Source organism: Homo sapiens, chromosome 2 (genome assembly GCF_000001405.40).
Source record: "Homo sapiens chromosome 2, GRCh38.p14 Primary Assembly".
NCBI lineage: Eukaryota > Metazoa > Chordata > Mammalia > Primates > Hominidae > Homo > Homo sapiens.
Window position 1 is genome coordinate 47,544,008 of NC_000002.12, and position 21,624 is coordinate 47,565,631.

The 21,624-nt window shown below is 46.9% G+C and overlaps 2 protein-coding genes across 33 annotated transcripts in view; one reads left to right on the plus strand and one right to left on the minus strand.

Moving 5' to 3' along the window:
- MSH2 (mutS homolog 2) overlaps positions 1–21,624 on the plus strand; it is a 306,764-nt gene that overhangs the window by 140,941 nt on the left and 144,199 nt on the right. For 3 of the 32 annotated variants that reach the window (NR_176231.1, NM_001406644.1, NM_001406651.1), the window contains one exon: positions 18,082–20,878. The exons of 26 other annotated variants lie outside the window; for them this stretch is intronic. Coding sequence is in view for 3 of the 6 variants with exons in the window: in NM_001406644.1 (NP_001393573.1) it covers positions 18,082–18,104 (23 nt within the window). In the remaining 3 variants the exon portion in view is untranslated. Of the gene's footprint in view, positions 1–18,081; positions 20,879–21,624 lie in introns of those variants that run through there. 3 more of the 32 variants (NR_176232.1, NR_176233.1, NM_001406643.1) reach the window with 2 other exon arrangements.
- Positions 1–21,624, minus strand: part of KCNK12 (potassium two pore domain channel subfamily K member 12) — a 61,696-nt gene that overhangs the window by 34,718 nt on the left and 5,354 nt on the right. The gene's annotated exons all lie outside the window — the stretch shown is intronic.

A 21,624-nucleotide genomic window follows, 5' to 3' on the forward strand; every position in this document is an offset into this window, starting at 1 on the left:
GGCCTGCCTTCCCTCCACTCTTGGTGGCTTCCAAAGGCCAACATTCTAGAAAGCCAACCACCCATGTCTCCTCTCTTTCTATTGGAGTGACTCTGCTGCTTCAACAGAGTATTAAAAACAAAGACAGCCTTCCACCCTGACGTCAGACACACAGACACACGAGCACGAGCATCTTGTACTACCCTGTGCCCCCATTCCCCATCAGCATACACGTGGTGTTTCGGGGATAAAGCTACACCAAAGGAACCCTCCCATACAGGCTTGGTACAGTCTCAGCCTGTAACGCTTCCCTTTCGAAGAGCTGTCCCTCCAGCAAGGCCTCATAACCCAGGGAACCCCTGGCATCTCTGCCGAGGGCATAAACCATATTAGCTCTGAATCATAAAGAATGTTTACTGAGAACCACATTTGGGAAGACCTTTCTCTTTCAAACCCTTTCTTCCCAGGCCCCCAGTGATGGCTAACACCATTGTTCGCAGCGTTCCTACTGAAACACATTGGTCGTGTGTACTTTCTTGTCTAACTCATAGATTGCAAAAGCTATAATTTCATGGGATTTGTTTTAAGCGCCCTTTTCTGGCAGATGTAGGCTCAGTATGAGCACTCTGTAATTTTCCAGCCTCCTAAATGGCCCCCTGGCAGCTTACATACCACATGGTGTAACCCACCCTTTTCCTATCCTGCAGACAACCCAATTACTCACACAGTCTTCACCAGGGCCCTCCTAGGTGGGTCCCCCAGGCTAGGTCCTGTGGGGGATGCAGTTGCACTTATAACAAACCATGGCACATCCTTTCTGAGGAATACTATGCATCCAACAAGAGGGATGCTTAGAAAGTTGATTCTGACATCACATACCAATACACAAAAACAAAACCCAAAATTCATCCAGAAAATAGACTCAAGGACAAAAAAATCCCTGGAGTACTATTTTAGTGGTGAAGCTAAAGGCTTTTTTTCCCTGTCACTTTTTTTGAGCTTCTCTCTTTTTCAAATGTTCTATAAGAAGTATCTGTTATTCGAGTGAATTAAAGACCACTCGTTTTGTCATTATTTTTAAAGGCAGAGTCTCACCGTCTGGGTGGGGAGGGAAGTCATACACAAGAGAGGAGATGGCAAGGTGCTAGGAGGTTAGATCATCACTGGCAGAAGGCAAATGAAGGAGGAGGCTCCATGAAGCCTGGATGATGAAGGTGGGCTCTGAAGAGGGAGTGGGCCTTAGATACATGAAGGGTAAAGGACAGGCAGGGATGCTCCAGGCAGGGAGAATGCTATGAATGAAGACTGGAGGGACAGTTCAGGGTCTTGCTGACTAGTTTGGCTGGAGGAAAGGCTGCAGTGAGGGTAGCATTAGCCACACTTGGGCTTGGAAAGGCTGGGGACCACTGAAATGCAAAGTAGCTTCCCCTGAAAGAAACCAGGGAGGCTGCTGTCAGAGAGTGGACCCTTTGGGAAGCCTGGATACAGATGGATGTCTTTTCCCAATTCAGTCATTTATAAGTAGCTCATATGTCTCTCAATTCCTCATCATTTTCGCAGCACCAACTTTGTGGGGGAGTAGGGGGACTAGCTGTGGAGTCAGGGACACCTGGGCTAGAATCTCAGCTCTGTCACTTGCTGGCTCTTTGATCTGAGAAAGCCATTGAGCCTCTTTTTGCCTCAATTTCCTCATCTGTAAATGAGATGTGAGCTGTGCTCACCTCCACAGGATGCTGATGAGGATTAAATGAGAAGAAGTGTGTAAAATGCTCAGCATAGTGCTAATAGCATGACCACCTCAAAATGCAAGCCATTTGTGCTAACTGATGGACAGCAAGGAACAGAATTTCTAAAGAGAGTAGATAAGAAAAAAATAGAGAAGAGGAGGTCATGGAATATAAAGCCGAGACTGAATTGCACTTAACTTCTTTTTTTTTTTTTTCTCAAATAATTTGCTCAGGGCTGGGGCAGCCAGTATCATCTACATGCTCTCTCCCTCAGGGAGGAACCCATCCAACACTAAACTTCCAGAGAAAGAGGCAACTATGGACAGGGAAAAGCTGTAAATGAAGCAAGTGTCATAAGTTCTTCAGTAACACCCTCTCTCTTATTCAAAAACTTCCAGTGGCTTCCTAGGGTCTAGAACTGTGAGTCCCAATGATCAGGCTTGGAATCCTTTGGGAACTCTGCAGTTATTGCAAAGGCATATCAATCTACTTGGTCACCAATTGTTGTTTGCAACCTTAACTTTCTCCTACATGGTTATGCTATTACTTTCCAAAAATATGTAAATGGTTTTCTGATGAAGATGCACTTAAAAGTGCTACTGAATTAATTCAGAGGACTTTGTGTGTCAATATGCATTTTCCCTATTAATTAACGGATACTGAAAGTACATGTAACTTCCATCATACAGGTGCTGTGAAACTATTCCTCGCATTTAAAGCGATTCTCATGTTTAAAAAGTTGGAAGCAGCCTAAGCAAAATGGCAAAGCCCCATCTCTACAAAAACTACAAAAATTAGACAGGTGTGGTAGCGAGCACCTATAGTCCCAGATACTGGGGAGGCTGAGGTGGGAGGATCTTTTGAGCCAGGGAGGTTGAGGCTGCAGTAAGCTGTGATCATGCCACTGCACTCCAGCCTGGGTGACAGAGAGAGACTCTCAGTGTCAAAAAAATAGTTGGGAGACTTCTGGTTCAAGATGATTATTTAATTACCTCAATTTACCTACTCTCCCTCTTAAGATCCTATTTAAATGATGGTAAAAGGACATAAAGGTGTAAACTAGCAATAACACAGGGAATGGGCAGAGGGTTTACAGTGGAAGGGCCCGAGAAGTTTCAACATGCTTGTGCAAGATGGACAGCTTGAGAGAGCTGTAACTGATGAAGGCAGGTGGAGAAACCCACAGCTCAGAGGGAGTACAGCTGAGAAGGGGAGGGAGGGAGGGGAACTGCCCTGAAGAACCCTGGAGAGACTTGGGTGTGGGAAAGGCCATATAGATAATGGGTAGCTGCCCACCCTCTGCCCCAAAAAGAAAGCCCGCAGTCCACAAGCCCCACCTATGCACACTGAGTTTCCAGTCCAATTTTCTATTTTTAATTCTTAAATGTGAGTGGACAGCCACAGTTCAGACATTTGAGGAAAGCCTGTAAGCCCTCTCTTGCAGCTCCTCCTAGCTTAGCCTCCTTCATCTTCAAGGGCACTGCGGCTCAATCTTCAGATCTCTTCTTTTCTGGCTCCCACGAACACGCCCTGGGACTCTGTGGTTCTAACCTTGACAGCAACTGAAATTACTCTCATGAGGAGTTTTACAAAATGCTAATTCATAAGCCCCCACTTCCAGAGAGAATGATACAGTTGGTTAGGGCACAACCTGGGCATCAAGGCTTAAAAACTCCCAGGTAATTTTAATATGCAGCCAGGGTTGAGAACCACTCTCCTAGGTGATCTTTTCTTTTTCTTTTTGCGTCTGGGTCTGGCTCTATTGCCCAGGCTGGAGTGCAATGGCACGATCATAGCTCACTGCATCCTTGAATTCCTGGCCTCAAGTGATCCTCCCACCTCAGCTTCCAGAGCCCCCTAGCTGACATTGGCAGGGCTTTATTTATTTATTTATTTACTTTTGAGATGGAGTCTCATTCTGTCACCCAGGCTGGAGTGCAGTACCATGATCTTGACTCACAGCAACCTCTGCCTCCCTGTTTCAAGCGAGTCTCCTGCCTCAGCCTCCCAAATAGCTGGGATTAGAGGCATCTGCCACCATACTTGGCGAATTTTTATATTTTTAGTAGAGAGGGGGTTTCACCGTGTTGGCCAGGCTGGTCTCGAACTCCTACCACATATAAGTGGTTCTCACTCCTGGCTACATATTAGAGTTGATATGGTTTGGATTTGTGTCCCTGCCCAAATCTCATGTTGAATTATAATCCCCAATGTTGGAGGAGGGGCGTGGTGGGAAGTGATTGGAACATGGGGGTGGATTTCCCCCTTGCCGTTCTCATGATAGTAAGTTCTCATGAGATCTGGTTGTTTAAAAGTGTGTAGCACCTTCCCCTTTGCTCTCTTCCTCCTGCTCCAGCCATGAAGGACGTGTCTGCTTCCTCTTTGCCTTCTGACATGATTGTAAGTTCCCTGAGGCCTCTCCTGCCAAGCTTCCTGTAGCTTGCAGAACCGTAAGCCAATTAATCTTCTTTTCTTTATAAATTACCCACTCTCAGGTATCTTCTTCAGTGATGATAACATTGCTTTAGCCAGGGTTAAGAACCAGTGGTCTATAGGCTGGCAAATCCCAAATTTGTATCTCAAACCCAACCTGTCCCTTGAGTTCTAGACTGGCCTATCCACTATCTAACTGGCACCCGGCTTGGAAGTGGAAAAGTCATTTCAGAATTAACATTTCCAAAACCAAGCTCTTGATTCTCCCTCCCAACCAGCCCCTCCTTGATTCCACTTCAGCCTTCCCTATCTCAGTAAATGGCAAATCCATCCTTGCAGTTGCTAAGGGCAAAAGTCTTAGAGCCCTTTTTTATTCTTTTGCTTTCTCTCACACCCTACATCTGATCCAGGAACAAATCGTGCCACCCTACTGTCAACACTTATCCAGATTCTACACACTGACTTTCGCTTCAGGCCACGAGGGCGTAGCTGAATCCAGACTTCCCTCCCACCATAATCAACCAGGAAACCGGAAAAAGTCTATGAGATAATTATTTTCAGACATTGGAAAAAAGGTAGTTCAGGATTATGGTCCCTGAGAGAAGGGAAACAAACAAGGTGAGCCCTTCAAAAGCCCTGGTTTTTGCCTGGTGGCAGCTTTCAGACAGCCATGGGAGTGGAGAGATCCAGACAGAGCCCAGAACTCTTGCTGAATTGAGGGGAGAGAAATTCAGGTTCAGGGAGGATAAAGCAGCTGTCACTGCTTAACTGCTGTAACTACTGTGGAGCACTGGAGAGGAAGGAACCATCAAGAAAAAGGACTCCAGAAATCTACTAGGGGTCCCTCTTTGTTACTCGCAAAGGTCTGAATAACAATCTGTGCAGGTACAGGGTAAAACCTAGAAAAAAATAAGACCAAGGAAAACAACTTCCAGGAAATCACAATTTCCAGAGAGCTGTAAACCAAACAATTTCCAGAGCCCTCACAAAGCCAGGAATCACCTGAGTTCCTATCAGTCAAAGGAGGAAAGGTTTCACTGAATCCACAAGGCATTCAGTAGAGACCCCAAAAAGGTTATTCTTTAATAGTGTGGCTCATCTAGTCCCAGAGAAAAGACTCCTTTAGACCTGCCTTTAAAAAGCTTAAAAACAAGTCTGGAAAATATCAACTGATCTATAAAGAACTGTCTGGCAGAACAAAGTCCAACCCTGCTTGAAAGAGTACAAAACAATCAAGCATCAACAATGTAAAATTCATGATGTTCTGATCTCTAATAAAAAATCAGATATGCAAAGAAGCAGGAAGATGTGACCCAGAAATAAGAGAAAAATAGTCAATAGAAACAGACCCAGAAATGCCAGAGATTATGGAATTAGCAAAGGCATTTAAATACCTGTTAAAATATGTAAAATATGCTCAAGATTTAAAGGAGAAACATAATGATGAGAAAAATGGGAAAAATTTTTTTAAAACCAAGTAGAATATCTCGAGATGAAAAATATAGGGGGCTGGGTGCGGTGGCTCACGCCTGTAATCCCAGCACTTTGGGAGGCCAAGATGGGCGGATCACGAGGTCAGGAGTTCGAGACCAGCCTGGCCAAAATGGTGAAACCCCGTCTCTACTAAAAATACAAAAATTAGCCAGGCGCAGTGGCGGGCGCCTGTAATTCTAGCTACTCAGGAGGCTGAGGCAGGAGAATTGCTTGAACCCAGGAGGCAGAGGTTGCAGTGAGCTGAGATCGCACCACTGCACTCCAGCCTGGGTGACTGAGCAAGACTCCACCTCGAAAAAAAAAAAAAGGAAAAATATCATGTCTGAAATGAAAAATTCACTGAATAGAGTTAACAACATACTAAAGACTGCTGAAAAAGGTTGAACTTGAAGACATAGCAATAGAACTATTCAAAATAAAGCACTGTAACCAAAAAAAGACTGAAAAGAGCCTCAGCTACCTGCAGAACAATGTAAATTAAGACTAACATATGTGCAGTTGGAGTTCAAAAAGAGAGGATAGGGTAGCAAAAATAATATTTGAAGCAATAATGTCAATCTTTCCAAATTTGAGAAAATTTATAAACACGCAGATCCAAGGAGCTCTATAAACACAAAGGAAACTACACAAAGGCACATCAAAATCAACTTGTTGAAAGTCAGGAATGAAGAGAAATCTTAACAGCAGCCAAAGAAAGGAGGCACAATTACTTACAGATAGAGAAAAATATTCACAGACTTTTTTTTTTTTTTTTTTTTTTGAGATGGAGTCTTGCTCTGTCACCCAGGCTGGAGTGCAGTGGCATGATCTTGGCTCTCTGCAACCTCTGCCTCCCGGGTTCAAGTGATTCTCCTGCCTCAGCCTCCCGAGTAGCTGGGATTACAAGCGTGTCCCACCATGCCCGGCTAATTTTTGTACTTTTAGTAGAGACAGGGTTTCACCATGCTGGCCAGGCTGGTCTCAAACTCCTGACCTCAAGTGACCCACCCGCCTCGGCCTCCCAAAGTGTTGGGATTACAGGTGTGAGCCACCACACCTGGCCACAGACGTCTTATCAGAAACTATGCAAGCCAGAAAACAATCTTTAAGGTGCTAAAAGAAACAGGAAAACAAAACAATGAAAAAAACCCCACACTTCAGTAAATATGCATTTCTTTTCTGAAAGATATAATCACTTCTCACTGCCTCCACCAAACATGCCCCGGTCCAAATCATCATCATCTCTCACCTGGAATATTTCAAAAGCCTGCTAATGAGTCCCCACACTTCTATATTTCCCCCGTACAGTTTTTTTTGAACAGCAATGAGTGGTCTTAGAAATCAGATCATGTTATGCCTCTTTTGTCTCCCTGCTTTTTTTAACCTAAGTTTTGCCTCAGGATCTAATCATGCTTCTTCTCAAAATCCTCCCGTGGCTCCCCATTTCACTCAGAGTAAAACCCAAAGGTCTTGCCGTGGCCTGGAGACCCTGCATGACCTAGTCTCTGGCTACTGCTCTGAGCTCACATTCTAACTCCCACTTGCCCCTCCTCCAAACACTATTCCAGACACACTGGCTTCCTTGCGGCTCCTCCAGCAAACCCTGCAAGCTCCTCCTAAGGGACCCTGGCACTGGCTGGAGCCCTCTTCCTCCAGGCAGCCACATGGCTCACTCCCTTACCTCATTCCAAGCCTCCACTCAGGGGTCACATCATCCAAGAGACCCTTTCAGACCACCCTACTTCCATCACTTTATTCTTACCCTGGTTTTGTTCTTTTTGCAGCATTTACCACCACCTGACATTTATTTGTATGTTTATTTTCTATCTCCCCCAACTAGAATGTTAGCTCCATAAGCTAGGGACTTTGTCTACTTGTTCACTGCTGTATCCCTGGGGATTTTCAGTTGCTGGCACATAGTGGAGCGCTCAAGAAATATTTGTTGAATAAATGGATCAATGGGAATCATGTTTTCTGGATGCCAAATTAGAATACAGGGCCTGCTAACTGTTCTGGAAAGTATGACGTGTGAAATCAGTATTACCCCCTACCCCACACGGCACCATATTTTTCTGGAGCTCTCCAGTTCTAGACTCGTTGACACATAAAAATATTTTGGTGCTAGTCCTGGGGAAGGCAGATTATTGGTTTAAGATTCAGTTCTAGCCACAGGCTGCACTGTGCATAAATCTAGGGGACTACATGGAGTTCTGAATGACATGTGTCTCACTACAGTGGCATTACAGAGAAAGCCTGGAAACATTACAAGGGAGTAGAGCCAGGGCCTTGTAGATACTGGCTCATTCAATCCTGCAACCCAGAGGAGCTGGGCCTCCTCCTGAAGGGCCTGCATCACCTCCTTCCTTCTTGTTTGGCCCTGGGGACGACCGGTGGTGGGGAGGTGGGGGGAAGGTCAGGAACTGAGATAGAATTTATCAGCGTGCTGGCTCCGAGTCTGCAGCTAGGATGCCCTTTAGCCACAAACAGCTATAAAAGAATAAGCTTTATGGAAAAACATTAAAAAAGAAATAAAGCAAGAATGTAGATGGAAGTGAAGGGGACTCTAGGGACAAAAATGCTATGAATTAAGGTCATTGCCACACACCAACCTCTGCTGCACCCCCGCCTCCACCAATGGTAGTGCCTTTCCCACCTGCAGGGCACAGGGGGCTGCCCTCAGCAATCTCCGAGCAGTGAGGGGAGGGCTGCCCTGCTGAGCCCAGCTTTGGAGGAGGGGTATCCTCCTCCAGCCTCAGCCTGCTTCATTCCCCACTTCCTTTGTGGCTGCAGCATCTTCAACTGCCTTCCCCCCATTATGAGACATGCCCACAAATCTCCAGATGCATTGTTAGAAACCCTGGGGCCCTGTAGAGCCTGGCGGCTCATGCCTGTAATCCCAACACTTTGGGAGGCTAAAGTGGACAGATTACTTGAGTCCAGGAGTTCGAGACCATCCTGGCCAACATGGTGAAACCCCATCTCTACTAAAAATACAAAAATTAGCTGGGCATGGTGGTGCATGTCTGTAATCCCAGCTACTCAGGAGGCTGAGGCACAAGAACCACTTGAACCCAGGAGGCAGAGGTTGCAGTGAGCAGGGATCGCACCACTCCACTCCAGCCTGGATGACAGAGTGAGACTCTGGCTCCAAAAAAAAGAAAAAAAAAGGAAAGAAATCCCCAGGCCCACGGTCAGCCCCTTTGCCTAGATCTTCCTGTGTGGGCATGATGTCAAGAAATGAGGGGGGAATGGAGAGCAAGAAGACCCAAGATCAGCAGAGGTCTTGTTGAGTCTTGTTGAGTGCCGATAACCAAATTCTGTCTTTGGCTCCTGAAAATATCTCTTACCCCTTTTCTTTTGCTCCTTTCCAAAGGCCACATGATCCCCCAGTTCCTATCCCTAGTCCCCTCTACCCAATTCATCCTGCCACAAATATTCAGCATCCTGGGCTGCCATATAAACAAATGAACAAACATTTACTGGTTCTCAGGCTATGCAAGGGTCCTCCCCATGACCCTGTGAGGTAGACCTCATTGCAAGAGTATATAGCTCTTCAGTCCAATGTGACGAATTCTGCTCTTTGTTTAAAGTGTGAACACCAGTAGCTATAAAATAAAATTATAACGCATAGATTATGAACCACTTAGAGCGCGTAAAGAAACAAGTCATGTTGGCAGTCCTCTTGAATAAGTTTGGAATCATATAGCAGTTCAGAGCTGAATATACAAACTAAGCACATATTCCTCAGTGATTTATCACTGATAGAGATATATAAGCTGTTTTTTTTGGTGGGGTGGGGGGGCACCCAGGATCTCACTCTGTCACCCAGGCAGAAGTACAGTGGTAAGCTCTTGATAAAGTGAGGGGACAGTTGATAATGGCCTGATTTAATGTTTGAGGTGAACAGCCAAAACAAGGGACTTCACAATTATCTGGTTGTTTGAAGGTAGTTCTAGAGACTAACAGTTTAGACTAACGAGGTTGCCTGACTTAACGGCATAACTATATAGTGACTAAAGTGCCAGAATCTTCTTCTAAAATAGTCATGATCACATTACACCCCTGTTCAAGAACTCCAGTGGTTTCCTGTTGCCCCCATACCAAGTTTAAATGTTTCCACCTGGCTTTCAAAGCCCTCCAATATGACCTTAACCTATTGAAGCAGTTTCACCTGTCATTGTTCCTTAACTTGCTTAAGGCAGGCTGGTCCTGACCTCACTCACACTGTTCTTTCAAACCTGCCTACCCTGCAACCTGAGAGGTGGCATCAGACATACTGGAAAGAACAAAAGATCTGGGGTCAGAGAACTCAGCTCAGGGTTTAGCTTTGCCACTTACATGTGAACTCAGCCAGATTATCTATTAATAAAAATATAAGCCCACATTAAAGTGCTTATGAAATACCAGGGCCAGACTAAGTACCTGCATTCATTGTCTCATATAATTCTCCCAACCACCACATGATACAGGTGTTATTATGATTCCCATTTTATAAATGTTAAAATGGAAGCTTTGGAAGTTCATCTATTCAACAAACACAAGGTACTGTGCTAGGCAATGGGAATATAATAGTGGACAAGAGAGACAAGAACCCTGTTCTCATGGAGCAGGGAGTGAGCAGAGGTCAGGGAACAAACAAACACATAAACACGTTATTTGCTCATGAACAGGATGATTTCCAAAAACGGTACATGTTCTAAGGACAATAAGGCAGAATAGTGTGAGGGACAGTGACTAGGGGTTAGTGGGGGACACTACTGTAATCAGGGGGACCAGGGAAGGCTCCTCAAGGGTGACATTTTAGCTTTAGATATGAGGCTTGAATGTGGTTAAGAGAAGTCAGCCATGCCGTGACTCACAGAGCAGTGCGCCAGGCAGCAGGAACAGCAAGTGTTAAGTGCCCAGAAGTCTGATCTGGGTAAGTCCAGCGTGGCTGTAGTGCATTGAGTGAAGGGGAAAGCAGTGCCAGTGAGGCTAAGAGGGGTCAGGGCCAAATTATGCAGGGCCTTGAGTGTCATGGTGAAGAGTCAGATTTTTTGCAACAGGAAGTCACTGAAGGATTTCAAACAAGCAAAGGACTTGGCCTGACTTCCGCTTTTAAAGATCTCTTTGGCTGTGTGTGAAGAACAGGCTGTCAAGGAGCATAGAGAAAGCTGGGGGATTGGTTAGAACGCTAACTTAGTTGCCCCAGCAAGAAATGATGGTGACAGCTGGAGTAGACTGGTCGTGATGGGCAGCGAGACAAGTGGATGGAATCAGAATGTATTATGCGGATTGAGCTGACAAGAGTTGATGATGAATTGGATATGAAAGTTTAGGAAAAAAAGAGGAATCAGGACAACTCTTTATATGGATGACATTTATTGATATGAAGACTCATGGAGCAGTGTACCAAGGAGCAGGAACAGCTTGTGAGGGGAACAGTCAAGAGTGGGATATAGCAGGAATCAGGAGTTCTATTTTGGGCTTTTAAAAGTTTTGATACATATTGAATATCCATGTGGAGATGTCAAGTGGGCAGTTGGACCCATGGTTCTGAAGCTTAGTGTAGAAGATGGGTTATTCATCAATAGATAAATGGGTTTAAAGCCAAAGGGTGTGAGGGGGATCAGAGTATGCCATCCCCAAATATGTCACTTTAGCACAAGGATTGTTTTGAGCTGCAGGCAATTTGGAAGCAGCAGATGCAAAGAAAGCTCCTTATCCTCCCCTATCTGCCTAAAGGCAGGACATAAATTTCCCTTTGCCAAGGTGTCCTCCTTACCCTCTCTGTACTCTTAATCACTGGGGACCCCACTGTCACTCTAGAGATTTTACAAGATTGAGTCTGCATAACAAACCTTACTAAAACCAAAGCTTATTCTCCATTAGTTTCCCTCCTATATTTATCTTCCCATAATTTACCACTTCTAGAAGTCCAAACTCCTTTTATCTCATCATTACTTCACAATTTATCACTCTTTGTTAAAATGGTATACAACTTCTTTTTAGGTAATTCCTTTTCTATGAAGGCCTCCATATGTATATGCAATAAATCTTTTCTCCTATTAATCTGTCTTTTAATTCAGGGCCCTAGCGGCTGAAAATAAGAAAATGTAGGGGAAAAGCTTTTCCTCTACAGGTGAGAGATTGTTTGGAGACAGTCCAGAGTGAGGACTGAGCATGGGGCCCTCTCATACTGAAAGGTCACATAGAGATCCAGCAAAAAGGACCAAGGAAAGCAGCCAGTGAGGATCAAGGACAGCATGATGTTCTGGAAGCCAAGAGAAAAGAGGAGTTTGAGGATAAATGGTCAGCCATGTCAAATGTTGCTGAGATGCTGAGGACAGGCAAGTCATCACTGGATTTTTTTAGGAAGGGGGCCACTAGGGACCTTACAATAACGTAGTCACTGGAAAGGTGGGGCTGGACTCCTGATTGAGGTGGATCCAGGGGAGAAGGGCAGGTGAGGGAGAGGTTGACTACTCTTCTCAGAAGCTTTCCTGTAAAGGAGGGCAGAGAAATGGGAAAGTAGCAGGAGGGTGATGCAGGGTCTATTAAGAAGGAAGAATATACATGTTTGCATACCGATGGAGTATAAATTAACAATGCATGGGGAGTGGGTAATGACAGGAACTAAGCCCTGGAGGAAGTTAGAGGAAGTGAGACCCAGTGAAGCTGGCATTTGTAAGTGGGCACTTCATCCACTGCCACAGGAGAGAAAGCAGCTCCACATGGTGGGTGGATTTAGGGGTGTGAAGATTACTTCTGATTACTTTTATTACCTCAATGGAGTGTGAAAGAAAGGTAGTTAGCAGAGAGTGAGGGGAATGGGAGGCTAAAGATGGAAGAGGGAGGATAAGTGGTGGACACAGTAGGAAGTACAGTGGGATGTGGGGGGTGCTGCCAGTGTGGAGTGTCCAGCTGGTACTCAGGGTCACCAATTTAAAGTTGGACCAGTCAGCATCTCTGCATAGTTTGTTAGCCATATTCAGCTGCTTGAGGGCAGATGAAGAATACGTGGGAAGTTGGTATTTTGATAGGGGTACAACATAGGGAGAGAGGGGCAAGGAAGTTAAGGGTCTCTGAAAAGGGAATGAATCCAAGCTGAGTTAAAAAAGAAATGCAGGCTCAAAGAAGATGGTGGAAAAATAAGAGTGGGAGTGTAAAGGACCTGTAGGTCTTACAGCCAAAGGATTATGATCTCACCCAAACAGGGTGATATCAGAGGATGGGAGCTGGAAGCATGGGAGGTGGTGGTCAGAGGTGAGATGTTTAGAGTCAAAAACTTTGAAGGTAATGCAGTTACTAGTAATAGCAAGGACATACATAGATAGAACCAAATGACCTGCTGGGGTGGGATGGAAAGAAATATGGTTATAGATGAGATGGTTAAGGAGCCCAGTTCTTGGATGCATCATCTGTGGGAGGCTGGAGAAGGCTGGAGAGGAACTCAGTGAGGCAGACTTCAGTGAATGGGCAGGAGATGCATGCTGGCAACCCCAATGACAGAGCTTGCTATGGTTTGAATGTCTCCTCCAAAACTTACGTTGAAATCCAATGGCTATTGTAAGACTTTTAAGAGGTGAGAACTTTAAGAGGTGATTGGATCATGTGGGTTCTGTTCTCATGAATGGATTAATGTCATCATCACTGGAGTGGGTTGGTTATTGCGGGAGTGGGCTCCTGATAAAAGGATGAGTTTGGGCTGATTCTGTCCTGCACTTGCTCACCATGTGATGCCTTCCACATGGATGACTCTTGCCAGATGCCAGAGCCCTCTATCATAAACTTCCCAGCCTCCAGAATGGTGAGTGAAATCAACTTTTTTTTGTTTGTTTTTTTTTAATAAATTACCCAGTCTGTGATATTCTGTTATGGAAGCAGAAAACAGACCAAGACAAGCTAAAATTCATACCCAAGACCAGGGCCCCCAGCATTCTCTCCCTAACCACTACATTGTACTGCAAATTGTCACTTGGCAATGCAGATTTCTTCATTCTTAAAATGGATACATGAATAATGCATACCTGCCCGGCTGAACAATGCACATCAAGGAGCTTTGTAAGGCAATTTCCGTATGTTAGGCATACAATCCAATCTCTGCTTGACTGCACCAAGAGGCCCGAACAACTCCAATCAGTACAGGTGTATGACCCACTTCAGCTCTTGTTATATACTCTGCTGAACTGCCTTCTGGGTCATGTATATTGCTCACTAATTTGATGTTAGGAACTGAGATGCCTTAGGGATTCGGGGACTGTGAAGGTAGAAACGGCAGTAAGGTGGACTTCATGCAGCTGCTGGGTTCCTGACATTGGTTACAAGTTACATCTCTCTTTAAATATAATGGGGTATGTTGCTGCTTACAGGAGCTTTGGAATGAATCCCTTTGAGAAGCAAAGCCTTCTTTTACAAAGCAGGTCATCATCTGATCATCATATTTTACTTTTTATAAAACAGGTGCCTAGGTAGAGTTGGGAATCTTGGAAACGGCCATTCATTCAAATTTACATTGATTCTGAAAATATTTCTGTAGCCCCTCCCATGTGCCATGCCCTGTGCCAGGCACTGGAGACATGGAGGGGAATGGAGGAGATAGCGTTCTCATCTTCCAGGAACCCAGAATCTGGCAAGAGAAGCAGATGCTAAGCACACAGTCACACAAGTGATTCCATGCCAAACCAGCAGGAAGTGTGGGGAGTGACAAAGAGGGTGCTGGCAGGGGCAGGCCCTGCAGTCCCACTTCTGCACTGACACAGGCAAGGACCTCTTCCCTGCCTGCCACTGAGGCTGCCAGACCTTCAGAATTAGCTCCCATGCAATCTCAGCTTTCTTTCCCGACCTTCCATTTTAGAAGAGAACCCAGCAATCCAAACCTGCATGGCCTCCAAAATGCACCCCGCCCCTAGGAAATGCCAACACACTCAGCACAGGCAGAGGCCCGTGCCTACCTTTCCCCCTCGCACCTGGGCTGTCCCTGCAGAATTCCTGGCAGGTCCTGGTGTTAGCAGCTAAACAGGCTCACACGAGGCGCTCAGAATTCAGAACACTTGGCAGCAGGGAAGAGGATCATGGCCATTTGGAAAGGATTAGAGAGGAGTCACGCGGAGTGCGATTCGGAGTTTGCGTTTATCTCAACTGAAACTTTCCAGAAAGCTAGGACAACTGATTCCAATAAAAGCTTCCCCAAGTATTTTTGGAGGCATTGTGATGGTGCTGGGCCGTGTGGGTGGGGGTGGCTTTTCCTGGTTTGTGGAATTGCATTTCATTACTGATTAAACTTCCGTCAAATGTGTGAAGCAACCTCCAGTTTCTAAGGAATGTGTCCTGGGCAGGTGAAGAGAAAAGGCAGAACCACTGGACTGAGAGGTGGAATTGAGCAGGGCCTCTTTATGGCTAAGAGATGTGGCCAAGGCCAGGGCCAGATAGGAAATCTGAGTCAGTGGGAAAACTAGGACCAGAAGCCCCCCTAGTTCAGAACTGAACTTTTCCTACTGCTTTCTGAGGGTAACAAGGGCTGAGGCTTAGAATTGTCTAGTTTGGTTTCAGTCCAGGGCAGGGTCAGGATAAGGACCCAGCTGACTCAGAGAGCCATGGAAACGCACTGCCAGGGAGGGGAGCTCCAGAATGAGCTGGCTGCCCTGCTGCACACCTGCCAGCCACTGAGAGAGCATTAAAGCAACGGCCCAGCAGAGGGGCTCATGCACAGCCAGCCCCTCCAGCTGTAGGAGTGGGGAGCCCAGCAGGGAGGCCCTGGGAGGTTCTGGAAACGTGGTCTGGGCCCAGCTTGCTCAGTTTTTATTTTTTGTTGTTAATTTCCAGCAGTCCAGGGTTTTCAGTTACTCATTCATTCCATCCACTCAACATATGTTGATTAATCACCTACTTTGTGCCAAGTATTATGCTCCATGATTGACAGAAATTACCTCTTTGCTGCACTTCGAAGTAGTCATTCAATGCATAGCTGCTGCCATGATGGTTATTATCATGTTATTAATTGTAACAGTGACAAGCACTACTAAGATGTAGCTTCTGAGGTGGAGAAAGAAGAAACTACGTTTTCTGCATACCTACTATGTGCTGGGCCCTGGGCCAGCTTTAGACACATCTTAACCCACTGAACGGTGGCTTACTTCGCAGATGGGGAAGCTGGCATAGAAACAAATGATTGGCACAGGTCTGAGGGCAGTAAGAGGGACTTCACAGTAGGTCCCTCTCTAGTGGCACCATTTGAGCTGGATCTTGAAGACTGATTTCACCTGGTAGAAAACAGGGAGGAAGGGAAGGGCATTCCAGGTGGAGAGTACAGCATATGTAACAGCCTAGAGGCTTAAAGTGCGAGGTAAGGGGGACAGAAGTTAAGGGTGGCTAGAGAAGAGAGTAGCACTGGCAGGCGCTTGGTGCAAGGTCTAGGCAGGGTCTGTTTCAGGACATGACCTTAGGCAGAGTCTCCCTCAAGCCAACCACCCTTCAGGAGGCGAGTTCTGAGCTGGCTATGTCCCCAGGCTTTCCTTGCTGGTGTGCTTAAGGGAGGCCCTCCTGTTTTTTTGGTTTTCTGTCCCGCCTGTCCATGCCCACTGCAGCTGTTTCCAGTGCAAGGCTGAGGGTTCTCAGGTCTGGGCGGGAGCTCGGTCCTCTTCAACAAGTTCCCAGAGTTCTGGTGAGCTCTGTGGGAAGCACGTGCTCTACCCTCTCCGATCTGGTTGGCAGCCTCCTTCACAGAGAGGTACTAGGTGGCGAAGGATGGGAAGCAGGCAGCCCTCGCTTTAGTGTAGCCACTGACACTGCCAGAAGCACAGCACAGCCAAATCCCAGAGTCCCCAAACTGTGCTTCAGCTCTCACTGATGCCTCCTCATCCTCCTCCTCCACCCACACAACCCTGCAGACCCCAGGCTGGGCTATGGTTCTTCCCCCTCTGTGGAACTGCACAATTCAGAGACAGCAGAGATCTTGAGCAGTCAGGAGCCGTGGATCCTCTATTCTGCCATTGACTGACTTGCTGTGTGATGCCAAGAAAGTTGCTTAACCTCTCTGAGCCTGTCATCTGTGAAATGGGATATAATTTTCTTTGCTGTCCTAGGATTTTTGGGAGCTTACTGAGTAAACACAGATAAAAACACAGTGAACTGGCAAACATGACATGTGGCAGGGAGGGGAGTCAATCAGGGAGACCAACAATGCCTCAGTTATCCCCCTCACTCCCCAGAACAAAGGCATTGGCTGCTGGCATGATGGAGAGTTTGGAAAGGGGAGATACTGGTGGGCTCTGTGGCCTCCCCTGGCCCCAGATCCTGTCCTGCTCCGGGAGGCTTCTGCCTGGGAAGGGGGTCCCGGTGCTTCCTCCACCCACCAGGGAGTCATGGTAGCCCTGGGGTGCAGGGAGCAGCAGCCTGGCACCCACACATGGGGCTATTTGCTGCAGTGCCTTCCTTCAGCGACCTTCACCCAGCAGCCATGACACTGGACCCACCTCAGAGAAGTGTGGCGGGACCTGGCCTCAGCCAGCATCTGGCTTCCCTGCTACTCTTCAACTCCATGACCTCCTCCTCAGCCTAAGCACTGCCAAGAGGCCTCAGCACACCTGGAAACAAGGAGGGTGGCCAGGATTGTGGCTGCCCAGGGCTCTGCTCCGGGTGTGGGGGGCAGAGAAGCACTGGATGTCACTGGTCTAACTCACCACTCAATCATTCATTCAGTTATCCACCAATTACATCCTTGACAATGATTAAAGAGCACTGCGCCTATGAGGGATGATTAAGATATTCTAGTTGAGGACCCAAAGAAAATGCATTTTCAAAAGTACCCTTCCAGGCTGGTTATGTAACAGCATAGGACACAACACACCCGAGAGGCAGTGACCAACCAGAGTGCAGCAGGTGCCACACAGCAGGGGGGCTGAGGCCCAGAGGACTGGACCATGCACAGGGTGGTGTGGCCGGGTGAGCTACAGGGAAGGAAATGTGCCTTGGCCTCCCCTCCTTCACAGAGAGGCAGGGCAGGGCTCACCAACAGGGTTGCCGAGATCTGGGGAGCAGATGCTACTCATGGTTACCAGGCACTGCACCCATGGGTTAGAGCCTTCAGTCTTTAAAGTAACCCCATGGGGTAAGAACCATCATGGTCTTCACTTTAGAGAGGAGGCAACTGAGGCAAGGAGAAGTATATCCACTCACCAGAACCACACAGTTTGAATACTTAAGAATTAGGACGTGAATCCAGGCAAGCAGGCTGGCTGCAGTGCTGGTGTGTTTAGAGTCGACACTAAACTATACTGGAAGGAAGGATATGAGCCAATAGTCTTCCCAGATATAAGAACATCTGAGCTAAGAAGGGGCTCAAAGGACCTTGGGCATTCCCTTCTTTTAGTAAGGGAGAAACTGAGGCACTGAATGGTGATATGTCCTGCCTAAAGCCACGCAGCCAGTTAGTGGCAGAGCCAGGTCTAGACTCCTAGTGCCTGACTCACCGCTGTTCTCTCTACCCTAGCGACTCCAAGTGCATCAGCATAGGCATTGCCAGGAGCTCATGAGGAATGCAGACTGTCAGGTCCCACCCCAGACCTACTCAACAGAAACTACTTGGTAAGCAGATTCCCAGGTGGTTCCAGGCACCTTACAGTTTGAAAAGCACTGCTGCATGCTATCCTACCTTCCTGGTCTGTAACATCTGTTGCTGTTGAGTATAAAGACACTGTGAACATTGTAAAATCTGCAATTACAAGATTCTGGATGCTTCATCCTGAGGTCACCTTGGAATGAGATCCTCTGGGATCTGGAGGAAGCAGATGGAGGAGAAACCCCAGGGCTCAATTTTTCTAAGGGCCCAGGCACACCAGTTACCACTGACCTGCTAGTAAGCCAGGAACTTAGCCCCATGTTGGGGGTTGGCCAAGCGCAGGGAGGAGGCAGCACTCACAAGACAGAGTCCGGAGCATTCTCCACCACAGCCAGTGGCCACTTGGAGAGGGGACCTAGAGTCCCCTGGTAGGTGGCTAGGGAATGGCAGGGTTTGGGGTAGAACTTCCTGGGGCCAGAGTCTCATAGCAGTGGTAGCCAAGAGTTGGCTTAGGGTGAGAGCCAAGGGGCTTCAGTACCCTTCTTCATTCTCTACCAGCACCTCCCCAACCTCCTGGAAACTGCTGTGCTTCCTGCAGTTTCAAGCCCCTCCACCCCCTGTTCCTCACCAACTCTCCCCGTGTAGAAACTCTGCAGAGAGTATGACCGTGTCTCTTAAAAAAACTTTGGTGAGGATCAGAGGCTGGACTCTGCCCAAAGCACCCACCTTGGGCTCCACACACTTTCCGGATTGCTGGCTGGTGGCCCCATGCAGAGCCCCCGACCCCGGAAAGTCAGTGGAACTGGACGGAAAAAATGGAAGGGCCAGAAAACTTGGGGAGGACTCCAGAGCTGGGGGTGACACAGGAATAGACCAACGGCCTTTTGTTGTTTCCAAGATCCTCTGAATCTGAGGCAGCCAAACAAGGCATGGGAGTGCTGCTCCAGGTGTCAGGGATGGGTACACTTACTGAACACTTACCCAAGGCTACCACCACCATCTCCAGATCAAGCAGGAGTTTTTACCCAAAGCCCCCTCACAAGTCACTCAGCCTGCCTTCTGCTCCTCAGATACCCACCCTTCTCTCCAGCTCCTCCCCTCTGTGCGTAGCGCAACACTCACCCCTTCTGGGAAGCCTTGGTGCCCTCTCAGAACTGTACTGGATTCTCTACTTGTCTATGTGAGCAGTGTGTGTGTGTGTCTGTGTGTGCTGTTTGTGTGAGAATTATGTGTGTAAGAAAGGGTGTGGGAGAGTGAGAGAGATACACCTACCTTTGGCAATATTGATGTAACTCTTCTAGGGAGGATGAGAGCGCAAGCTCTCAGGGAATCCCCCTTTGACTTGCTGGGTAACTTGGGCAACCTCTCCTCCTCTCTGAGCCTTGTGTAAAATGAGGAACAAGGGTAAATTCACCCGCTTTGGGCTGGTCTTGGAGATGCTCTAGGGCTCTTCAGAGAAGACTTCAGGGAGCGGGCGGCAACTGAGGAAAGGCCCACTGGTCCGGACTCCAGCCCCCACCCCTAATTACAGCAGCTCTGCTCCTATTTGCTATAATGGGCTGATTGTTGGCTTTTGTTGACAAAATGGTCTACATGCCTGGGGAAAGTTATGAAGGATCTTTGTGGTGCTTCCAGCTAGAATACTCTAGGAGTGTACCTTTGCTCCATTCGGCACAATTCTGAGCTGTTCGACGCGGAGGCCCTTGGGCATAGTCAAGACTGAGTGGAAATATGTTCTCTCTCAGCTGGCTTGGCCCAGGAATAGCGGCAGACCATTCCTGGGAGTCCAGGGGAGAGCAGGGGGATCCAGGTACCTTTCTTGTCTCAGTTTTTGATGGCCTGGCAGTGCCCCCACCTGTTTTTTCTTCTTACCTTTCTCCACTCTCCCAGAACTTCCCAAAGGAAGCTGCTCTCATTAAAACAAGGGAGGTTGAAGATCCTAACGCCACAGGCTTGTTCGGGAGGCAGCTCACCTCCTGGAACTGAGTGCAGTCCTGGAGAAAACCAAGTGGATGTGCGGCCCCTTTCCATGGAGCAATTAGGTGGATAACTGTCCAGTCGCTCCTAGGCTTTGTAGAGGCATAGGCTCAGATACAAAGAGACCAGACAGTCTCTCGCTCCAAAGGGGCTGGCCACAAGCACCATGAAGACAGCAGTACCCACTGACTCAGCAATTTCACCAGCTGGAAGTCATCCCAAGGAGATATCACAGAAAGAAAAGGCCATCTTGCGTAAAGATGATCACTGTGTCATTACTCAAAATAGCCCCAAACTGGGAAACACCCAGCTATCCAGCAATAGGGGTAGTGAATTACAGAACATCAACTAGATGGAATATTATGCACCCACTAAAATTAGACTACGTGAAAACACAGAAACAACATCAGTAATAAAATGTTAATAAAACAGAAGCAGCTCAGTACACATCAGTTAGTTTCCTTTCTTTTTCCTACAAAAGGCATGACAAGGAACTGCAGGGGAACGTGCAGACATGAAGAGTTGTGTTAGTGCAGTGGTATCATGAATGACTTGTTCTCTTATTCATATAATAAATATTGTTTACTATGGGCTAGGTCTGATGCTGGGTGCTGAGGATGGAGCAGTGAATGGTAATACATTTCCTGCTCTCCACCCAGAGTTTCAAATTTAAGGAGATATTTTCTTCCTAAATGTCCTTCAAAGCTGTCACAGCATCATCTTTCAATAAAAAATAGTTGATGAGACTGGGCATGGTGGCTGGTGGCTCCCGGGTGTAATCCCAGCACGCTGAAAGGCTGGGGTAGCAGGATTGCTTGAGCCCGGGAGTTTGACATCAGCCTGGGCAATGTAGCGAGGCCCTGTCTCTTAAAAAAAAAAAAAAGTAGCCAGGTGTGGTGATGTGTGCCTGTGATCCCAGCTTCTTGGGAGGCTGCGGTGGAAAGATTGCTTGTGCCCAGGAGGTTGAGGCTATGGTAAGCTGTGTTTGCACCACTGTACTCCAGCCTGGGCAATGGAGTAAGACTGTGTCTCTTTAAAAAAAAAAGTTGATGAGAGAAATACGCAAGGAAGGATGCGCCTCTCCTTCTGGATAATGTGTTTCATTCCAGATATCAAAACTATCTCCAGCTGGATTACATACATGTTAGAAGAAAGTTGAATGTAAATGTGGTAGTGACATTTTGGGCTTATAATGTCTTAGTTTCCTTTGTAGCAAAAAGAGTTTTAAAAATCCATGTTGAAAAAGAGGGAAAAAGTTAGGACTTGTTACTAATCTCGTGGCTGAATAATTAAGTGTGCCTAATTCTGAAAGTAGCAAGCTAAATTATGCAGTGCCAAAAGTGACAACTCTTATACCTACACCATCCCGTCTACAGCGGCATGATTTTAGCTTTATAGCTAAAAAACGCTGCCAGAAAACCTAATAAAAGGAAGCAAAAATATTTCTGTTTATATCAAGCTGCCATTTGAGAAAGATTTTAAAATATGTTCTTTCCT